This window comes from Homo sapiens, chromosome 9, assembly GCF_000001405.40.
Source record: "Homo sapiens chromosome 9, GRCh38.p14 Primary Assembly".
Taxonomy (NCBI): Eukaryota; Metazoa; Chordata; class Mammalia; order Primates; family Hominidae; genus Homo; species Homo sapiens.
In genome coordinates this window covers 122,715,270-122,725,930 of record NC_000009.12, presented here as the reverse complement: position 1 = coordinate 122,725,930, position 10,661 = coordinate 122,715,270, and the positions used below count along the sequence as shown (strand labels likewise).

The 10,661-nt window shown below is 40.2% G+C and overlaps 1 protein-coding gene across 1 annotated transcript; it reads right to left on the bottom strand.

Moving 5' to 3' along the window:
- Window positions 1-1,005: 1,005 nt before the first annotated feature.
- OR1L4 (olfactory receptor family 1 subfamily L member 4) lies at window positions 1,006-1,941 on the bottom strand. Its single transcript, NM_001005235.1, has one exon. It carries the CDS (start codon window positions 1,939-1,941, stop codon window positions 1,006-1,008), a length of 936 nt encoding a protein of 311 aa, NP_001005235.1.
- Window positions 1,942-10,661: the final 8,720 nt, after the last annotated feature.

Sequence of the window (10,661 nt, the reverse complement as noted above, 5' to 3'; positions counted from 1 at the left end):
AAGAAGACATTTATGCGGCCAGCAACATATGAAGAAAAGCTCATCATCACTGGTCATTAGAGAAATGCAAATCAAAACCACATTGAGATACCATCTCATGCCAGTTAGAATGGGGATCATTAACAAGTCAGGAAACAACAGATGCTGGAGAGGATGTGGGGAAATAGGAAGGCTTTTACACTGTTGATGGGGATGTAAATTAGTTCAACCATTGTGGAAGACAGTGTGGCGATTCCTCAGGGATCTAGAACCAGAAATACCATTTGACCCAGCAATCCCATTACTGGGTATATACCCAAAGGATTATAAGTCATTCTGCTATAAAGACACATGCACACGTATGTTTATTGTGGCACTATTCACAATAGCAAAGACTTGGAACCAACCCAAATGCCCATCAATGATAGACTGGATAAAGAAAATCTGGCACATATACACCATGTAATACTATCCAGCCATTAAAAAAAGGATGAGTTCATGTGCTTTGCAGGGACATGGATGAACCTGGAAGCCATCATTCTCAGCAAACTAACTCAAGAACAGAAAACCAAACACCACATGTTCTCACTCATAAGTGGGAGTTGAACAATGAGAACACACGGACAAAGGGAGGGGAACATCACACACTGGGGCCTGCCAGGGGGTGGGGAGCTAGGAGAAGGATTGCATTAGGAGAAATACCTAATGTAGATGACAGGTTGATGGGTGCAGCAAACCACCATGGCACGTGTATACCTATGTAATGAACCTGCACGTTCTGCACATGTATCCCAGAACTTAAAGTATGTGTGTATATATATATGTGTGTGTGTGTATACATATATATATATATATATATAAAGAAACTGAGTGTTTTGCTCCCAGGTTAATTCTCTTACTGATATCCAACACCACTTTTCATGACCTCTTTGAATGCCATGTGGAAAAGGGTTAGGAAGGGAGGATAAACTGATAATAATCTTTTAGGTCATGTCCTGATTTTGACATGCCAACATTTTGTTCTTTCTATGAGTAAATTCTGTGTCTTAATTTCTTCAAACCCCTTTTCATATCTTTGTTCCTCAGGCTGTAGATGAAAGGGTTCAGCATGGGTGTCACTACTGTGTACATAACTGTGGCTACCCGGCCCTTCATCACTGAGTACATGGACAGAGGCCTAAAATAGACATAGATGACACTCCCATAGAACAGGACCACTACAGTGAGGTGGGAGCCACAGGTAGAGAAGGCCTTCCACTTCCCGGCTGCAGAGGGGATTCTGAGCACAGTGACGATGATTTGCAGGTAGGAGAAGATGGTACACAGGAAGGGGGTCACAATGACAGCTAAGGTCTCAGTCATCACCACCATCTGGCTGGAGGATGTGTCAGAGCAGGAGAGCTTTAGCACAGGCTGGGTGTCACAGAAAAAGTGCTTAATGATGTGAGAGGCACAGAAAGACAAGCGAGACATAAGTAGCACGCGGAACAGGGAATGTAGGTGGGAGATGCTGCAAGAACCCAATAGCATGAGTAGGCAATGCCATGGTTTCATAACCACATCATAGTGTAAGGGGTTGCAGATGGCCACCAGCCGGTCGATGGCCATAGAGGCCAGCAGGTAGCTGTCAGTGTTCCCAAATGCCATGAAGAAGTACATCTGGATCAGGCAGCCCACATAAGAGATAATCTTTGTCTCTGATAGAAAATTCACCAGCATCTTAGGCACTATGACTGTTGTGAAGCAGATATCCATGAAAGACAAGTTGCTGAGAAAAAAGTACATAGGGGTGTGGAGCCTGGGGTCAGAGTAGATGGCCAGGATGATGAGCACATTCCCCACCGCAGTGAGTAGGTACATGATGAGGAAGATGGCAAAGAGAGGTTTCTGCAGCTTAGGGTTGGAAGAGAGGCCCAGGAGGATGAAGCCTGAGGTGCTGCTGCTATAATTCTTTGTCTCCATGTCTCTGGACTTCCTGGATAGGGTTTAGAGAAGCAATGGGAGAGATGTAAAGGACAGTTTGACCAAGACAGCTTCTTCCCCACCTCAAATCTATTTTAAAAATCTTACTGCTATTATACTTCGAAAGAACATTTAATTCTGAAACTACATAGAAACAGATAGTAAAATTCAACAAAAGAAAAGTTAAAGGATGCCAAGCTGTCTTCTAAATTAGAAACTAAAGGTTTTCCATGTGCTCATAGGAACTTCTATGTGGCCTAATTTGTTTGAGTTCTTCTCATTTCCTTTTGTAAAGATTATTCTGAGGTTGTTTCTTGACCATCTCCTTAGTCTTATTATTGTCTTTTTTGTCCCGGGGAAGAGGTTGCTGGATTCTACTTAGAATTAGAATGCTGTCATACAAGGAATCCCTATGAATGAAGTTATCTCTTTCAGCATTCTCTCTTGCTCATAGGTCCATAGATGGTAGTAGTAGTTGGGATAGAACAAAACTAAGCAACAGAATTAATCAAGGCTCCTTGGTAATTGCAGAATTCAGATAATACTTTCTTTCATCTTCAGAAAAACATTTCTAATGTTTATTTAAGCATTTCTCTTTGGCTAATATGATCTGATGCTTTATCATCTTTTGGCCCAAGGATACCAGTTAAAATTAGAGTACTCCCAGAAATAGCCTATGTAAGCAAGATTAGTTCTTTGAATATATTAATTTTTCTGGTTAAAACACTATGAAGTCCTCATTCTCAACATTCAAATATTGCAGGACTATAAAACATAGACTGTAAGAGTCCTATTTCCACCAATATCATGGAAAGAGAAGGCAAAGATAGCCCTATGACCAATATTAAGCTACATTGCTGAGATGGTTGACTGAGTGAGTAACAAAGCAAAACTAAAGCATCAGGAGGCATAAACATTAAAAAAGAAGAAAATGTCATTTTTTTGTGGCACGATTGTGTACCAAAAAATTCAAGATAATTATTTGAAAATCTTTTAAAACCTATGGCAATTTCACCAGTGGCCAGATGCGCTATAAAACTAAAAGTATTAATTATCTTTCTGTATTAGACAAATGTAATGAAGAAAAGGTTTCAATTGATAATGGCAAGAAAGTCTAAGTGATACTTAGAAATTAACCTGAGGGACAAAATAAAAGAATGAGTAAGACCTATCAGAAGAAACTATAATAGAACACAAAATGAATATCTGAATATGTGGAGAACTATACTCCTGAAAAGGAAGACTATATTTTAAAATATGAATCCTTATTAATAAAATTCAGTGTACTTCTAATAAGACCTGAAGGGAATTTTTAATGGAAGTTGAAAAGATTATTCTAAAATTCATCTAGAGTATTACATGGCTAGAGACAGACAACATTATTTTGGAAACATTAGAATAATGATGGGAAACTTTTTTAACCCCACATAAAAGCACAGTATATTGATAATCAATAAGATAATGACACACATAGGGAAAAATAAAAAACTGACCAATATAAAGCATTTTGTATATCTATATGCCTATATTTAGATCATGATCTATATTAAACTTAACATATAATAAAGATTTATTTCATAGCAATGGAAAAAGAATGGGCTATAAAATAAATGCTATTTATGACAACTGGAACATTTGGGAAAAAATAAGCCTAAACTTCTTTGTAACTCACAAATAAAAATAAGTTATCAGATTGGCACTACATTTTTGGGGATCATATCCAAAGGAAAATAGACCTTCACATATGCTGAAAGTGTGAATCAGTGTAGGCCTTTTGGCCATCTCTGTCAAGAGTTGGAAATCTGCATCTCTTTATCCAATGATTCTACTTATAGCACTCTATCCTTTAGAAGTAGTCATATTTGTGTAGTACACAGTATGTGTTGCTTGTAATACCAACCAAACCAACCAAATAAACAAAGCAACCCATAGAGGGAACAATCTCAATATGCACATGTAGGTGAAAGACTAAACAATTTATGGTGCAGTTCCTGTTACTCAATAGCATGCACTCTCTAAAGAAATAAGATGGTTCATGTTAGCCAACAATTATTAGCACTCAGTACATGCCACATACTGAGCTAGGTGCTTTGTCTGTTTTTAAAAATCACTGTATTCTCCCCAAATCCTAAGTGATAGGCACTATATTCCAATTTTATAGATTAAAAGTTAGAGTTTAGCCAAGTTGAGTAACTTACCAGATCCCGCCATGAGTAAGTGGTAGAGCTGAAATTTGAATTCAGGCAGTCTGATGGCAGAGCTGGAGCCATTTATTGCCAAGTGATGCCATCACTATTATACCACTGTTTGATGTTTTACTAAGTGACAAAAGTAAGTTGCAGAACAATGCATATAGAATAATCCTATTTTTGTAACAAAAAATAACTCTTATATATTGTGTTTACTTTGGTGTGTGTGTTTATGTGTATATGGCTGCCTCTTGAAGTGGGTTGGTGTGAGAAGTAACTTCCACATTTAACTTTATATTACATATATATTTATTTATTTAATGGACAAAAGTTGTATATATCTATAGTGCACAACATGATGTTTTGAAATATGTATACATTGTGGAATGGCTAAATTGAGCTATTTAACATATGTGCTCTCTCACATAGTTATCATTTTTTTGGTGTGGTAAGATTATATTGCTTGTATTTAAAAATAATGAACACGTGATTTTTTACATGAATTTTATAATTAAAAGGGTGAAAGTTCTGAACAATTTCATCCCCCAGCCAACTTTTTCTCTCCATAGATCTATATGCACACTATATATTGTATTGGAGCCATACTATCCCCCACAGACTGTTACAATGGATGTTTTTGTGTGTATTGCACTCATCAGATAATTTCTAAGGCGTGGAATAGATTCTGAGATACAAATTGCAAAGTTGGAATTTATAAACATTGAAAATCTTAATAGATACTTACAACCCGAGATAACTACCCTTCATCCTACTCCTGGGGAATGTATCTATTTGACTCTCTGGACTCTTTCCCCAGTTTCTTCTCTGTCTCTTTCAGCCTCACTCCTGGGACATTGTGTTTGCTGGGGGTGAAGGGCTATGATTTCCTTTGGACTTGAACTTGGAGTTTCTAAGATCAGTGTGATGTTTGCCTCAGAGGTAGTAGCTTAGTCCCTTCCCGTTTAACTGGATCTGACAACATTGTATATTTTCTCATGTCTTGGGCAAGTCATTACAGTTCTGTATATCTATTAATAAGATGGGGTGTGTGTGTGGGGTAGAGGCTGATTTTTGTGTGTGTGCTGTTCTTCCCCGCCTGCCACTGTCATTTGGAGACTCAAGTGACAGTTGAGTGACAGTTTGTCAAACCCTAATACACGTGGTTAGTATTATTGCTCAAACAATAAGCTAGAGAAATGACATTTTAATGATGAGTCTTGTTAGTGGTGGGAAGAACCAGAAAGGCCTGGGAGTCTTTCTAAGCCTTTTAACATCACACTCTGGGGACTGTTGTGGGGTGGGGGGAGGGGGGAGGGATAGCATTAGGAGATATACCTAATGCTAAATGACGAGTTAATGGGTGCAGCACACCAGCGTGGCACATGTATACATATGTAACTAACCTGCACATTGTGCACATGTACCCTAAAACTTAAAGTATAATAATAATAATAATAATAAAGAAAATTAAAGAAAATGTCAGGATGCCAATTCTACATGTACTCACTGAATTAAATATGCCATTAAAATAAAAAAAAAGAAATGTTGAGGGATTTAATAAATATAAATTTCTATAAGGTTTAAAAAAATCACATCATCTCACCTGAAAAGGTATTTACTCTCTTCCTTGATAGACAGGAAATGTGGACTATTTCTATACTTCTCATCTTTCTCTATTGGAATTTTCACATTGTGGACATTTGTCATCTCAGGTTATTTCTCCTTTCCTTGCTTCCTCATCATTTGTGTAGTGTCCTTCTCTTAGCCACTGGTCCACATGAAACCAGGGAGTACACACTAGCAGCAAGTATGCACTTCCCAAATTGGATTAACAATGCTGGGTGGGCAGTGTGCTGGTGGAAAGCTACCCATTATCCATGCTTCTGCTTCCCTAAATAAGCAAAGACAGTTGGAAAGTGACTAAACTGGAAAAATGCAGCTAACATTTATTAGACAGAGTCTGTATTTAACATTTGTCTCATTTAATTCTCACAATAACACTATGTTTTAAGTACCACTATGTCCCTCTTTATAACAAAGGAGGCTGAAATTCAGAGAGTCACAGTGAGTGGTATATCTAGGATTCAAACCCAGGCACACTGACTGCAAATTATGTTTTAAACTGCTCTATCACACCTCTTCCTCAAACTGTACATGTGTAGTAGGGAACTAAGCTGGTGTGTCCTCTGCCAACAGAGGTCGTCTTATTGCCAAGTGCCTTCAGCCTCCTTGCTGACCCACTTCTTCCACTCTATCCTTCGCTCCTACGTATTGGAATCCTTTCAATTTCCTTCCTTCCTACTCCCATTTCTGCTTCCCATTCCACAAAGTCATATCCTCTCCTCTCCTCCTAGACTTCAGAGAGGACAGGCTATAGGGGACTTTGGACCTCAGCTCTCTCAGATCTTGAATCAACAACAGTTCTCTGATTTTGCAGCACCAGTACCTGACCTTAGGATCTCTCCTGGGCCCATGTTTTTATTTTTATTTTACTTTATTTTATTTTTGACATGGAGTTTTGCTCTTGCTGACCAGGCTGGAGTGCAATGGCACGATCTCAGCTCACCACAACTTCTGTCTCCCAGGTTCAAGCGATTCTCCTTCCTCAGCCTCCCAAGTAGCTGGGATTATGGGCATGTGCCACCATGCCTGGCCAATTTTGTATTTTTAGTAGAGAAGGGGTTTCTCCATATTGGTCAGGCTGGGGTCAAACTCCTGACCTCAGGTGATCCGCCTGCCTCTGCCTCCCAAAGTGCTGGGATTACAGGCATGAGCCACCACACCCAGCTGGGCACATGTTTTTGAAAATCCAGCTTCTCCCTTTCTACTCTCTCCTCATTGGGAGTCTGAGAATACCTTGATACCTTAAGGTACCTGTAAGACACCCGGATTGGCAGTGTTGAGTGCATAGGCCCCTTTCAGCGGTATGTCCCATTTAGGGATTCTGCAGGGTTATTTTTAGGTTGAGTCTTTCTCTTTTCAGTTCTCTGAAATCTCTGTTTTCTGCCTAGTTTTTACTCCTCTATTAGATTAGAGCTTTACCTCCTGTCTCTTGGCTCCAGAGAAGGTGGTATCTCAGCCTAATTTCCCATTTCCTGCTTAGTTTAGGTTGAAAGCTCTTCTGGACATCTTAAGTCCCTCAGATCCGGGATTGAACCCAGTTCCTCCGGCTCAGGCTGTTCTCAGCTAGATTCCACTCCACTGTTGGTTTTGTCTTTCTTCTTGGAATCACTAGTTTCTGGGATGCCTGGCTCTGTCTCTGTCTTTCTCAATAATTTAATGAGTTAAAATTTCAAGTTGTCAGTTTGTTTTCTGGTGCCTCACGTACCTGTGACTAGTCGGTATTCATCAGTGCAGCTGTAAACGCAGAAACGACAGGCTACATATCCTGGGTCATAAGGAGGAGTCTAGCAATGTGGATTATCGGGGAGCTTTGCTTGCCTTGGAGTCACAGGGCTTTAGATCCCTGTGCCTTCCACCTTTGCCTTTTCAGCATTCCGGAGATAGGGAGCTCAGAATATGCAGAAGTGGCCTAGTTCCTCATGGAACAGATCTATTAGGTTGGTGCAAAAGTTATTGCGGTTTTGTCATTGATGAGGTTGGCTCCGTAGAAGGTGGTATCTTAGCTTAATTTCCAATTTCCTGCCTAGTTTAGCAGGAAAAAACAAAACAAAACAAAACTCCGTGACTATCCACACCCCCCACCAGACTGGCATATTTATTAAATTTGATGAACTTATTTTGATACCTTAAGGTAGTAGAAACGAGACATCTCCAAAATTAACTGTGCTACAGAAATGTGAGGGTGAAATGTGAATCTCCAGGTCATCTCATCCACCCGTGAGTCCCCAAGAGATTGTCTAGTTGCTCGAATATCTTCTCTGCTGGAGACACCATGTTCCTTCACTGACATAGTTTTCTCCTTACCTATCTGGTCCTCTGTGCCTTGTGGCACTCCCTAATCTTAAATCCAGCCTGGCATATTCCCTCACAACCATTTCTGATTCCCATGGTGAGTAGAGCACCTTATAACTGGGTTTTGCTATGGCTATTCCACTGAACACAGGGCTGAAAGTCAGGGGACACGTTTCTGGTTTCAGCTCCGCCATGAGTTCATGGAGTCCTATCCCATAGCAATCTGCCTCATTTCTATGCTAGTAATGGCAGGTTGTTCAGATGAATTACCTTGCCCTTCCCAGATTTAAAATTCTAGATTCTAGGCAAATGAATGATTAAAATATGCCTATTGAGATTCCTTTTGTGAATAATTGCCTTTGCTCGGTCTCAACATACCTTTGGTAGCCATCAGATCCACCAGAGGTACTTCAACTGGGATTTGCTGAAAACAAATCTTGTCTTCCTCAGCTGAGCTGAGAAAGCCCCATCTGGTTGTTTCTGGTCTAGAGATACCCACTTTATTACAGCTCCTTCCCATGAATAGTCTCAATTATGGTAATGTAATGGGTAGCAATTAAACAGCACTTACACATGGAAGCACTGCTCTAAGAACCTTATATACATGAAGTCATTTAGTTTCTACAACACTCCATTTTACAGGTACCAAAAGTGAAGTACAGAGAAGCAAAGTGACTTGCCTAAGGACACGCAGCCAGATGGTGGTAGATTCCAGCTCCAAGTGTGTGCTTTCAATCTCTTTATTGTCCAGACGTTCTTGTTTATTTGTTCCTCTGCCAACTCAGTTTCCCTGGAGGAGATAGTCCCGTGGGTCTCAGGTTGCAGAATGTGGGCTGCACCCTTTAAGGGCAGGGACTAATGACTACAACAGTGTCTTGCATAGAATAAGTACTTTAAATGTCTGATATTTTATCAAAGGGAGCAAGAAGAAAAATATAGAGAGAGACATTTCCTGGTTTTTGAGATGGAGGAAAAAAAATCAGGAAAAGGGAAGAAGATTATATGAAGATATTGATCCCGGGGTTCCCATTGCCAAAGACCTCTCAGCCTGCCTACCTGTGGGCGTGACAGGAGATTCAGAGGCCTGAATAGGCTTGGGGGCTGCCAGAGGGTTACATTTGGGCTCTGAGTCTCTGAAGAAGGTGGCCTCTTGAAGTGCAGATATAGCCTCAGAAATGTGACAGTGCTTCACCTACAGTGAGAAATGATGAGTTAATGGGTGCAGCACACCAACATGGCACATGTATACATATGTAACAAACCTGCCGTTGTGCACATGTACCCTAAAACTTAAAGTATAATAATAATAAAATAAAAAAAAAGAAAGGGAGATCCAGGGGCCTGTCCTCTATGCATACCAGTGCCCTGAGGGGATTGGCGCTGTGGTCTTCCCAGGGGTGAAGAACATTACTATGGGGAACCTAGGTTCCAGAGGTGTAGCCTCTTACACCTGGGAAGGGAATTAGAGCCATGCAGCAGCAGGGGTGGAGGTTTGTTCAAGCACATATGTATACCCTATGCACATGTGTGTTTCCATACACATGTGTGCACCCTATATAAGGTGTTTTTTTCATGCACATGTATACTCTACATGTGTGTGCCTACTCTAGCTACATGCATGTACTCTTGTGCACTTCTGGGTTTACACTTGTGTGTGCCTACCTGGAAGGAGAAGTGATGACCTTTGACATCCCTAAGGTTCTGTGTTTGCATGTATGACTGCATCTGGATACACATGCAGTGTTGTGGGGAAGGGGTTAAGGTACAGGCCCAGGAGCCAGACTGACTATATTCTGATGCTGGCTTGGCATCTTATGATCTATGCAGTTTTGCAAATAATTAACCTTACTGAGCCTCGATTATTTTGGTTTCATTTGCCTTTCTTAAACATTTTATTACTTCAATTTCTTTTTTTTAATATTTGTTTTTCTTTTTTTATTATTATACTTTAAGTTCTAGGGTACATGTGCACAACATGCAGGTTTGTTACATATATACATGTGCCATGTTTGTGTGCTGCACCCATTAACTCGTCATTTACATTAGGTATATCTCCTAATGCTATCCCTCCCCCCTCCCCCCACCCCACAACGGGCCTCGGTATGTGATGTTCCCTTCCCTGTGTCCATGTGTTCTCATTGTTCAGTTCCCACCTATAAGTGAGAACATGTGGTGTTTGGTTTTCTGTCCTTGCGACAGTTTGCTGAGAATGATGGTTTCCAGCTTCATCCATGTCCCTACAAAGGACATGAACTCATCCTTTTTTATGGCTGCATAGTATTCCATGGTGTATATGTGCCATATTTTCTTTATCCAGTCTATCATTGTTGGACATTTGGGTTGGTTCCAAGTCTTTGCTATTGTGAATAGTGCTGCAATAAACATACGTGTGCATGTGTCTTTATAACAGCATGATTTATAATCCTTTGGGTATATACCCAGTAATTGGATGGCTGGGTCAAATGGTATTTCTAGTTCTAGATCCTTGAGGAATTGCCACACTGTCTTCCACAGTGGTTGAACTAGTTTACAGTCCCACCAATAGTGTAAAAGTGTTCCTGTTTCTCCACATCCTCTCTAGCACCTATTGTTTCCTGACTTTTTAATGACCGCCAT

Excerpts from the sequence above, each read along its gene's own strand:
- OR1L4 (NM_001005235.1), bottom strand. The coding sequence starts at position 1,941 with ATGGAGACAAAGAATTATAGCAGCAGCACCTCAGGCTTCATCCTCCTG.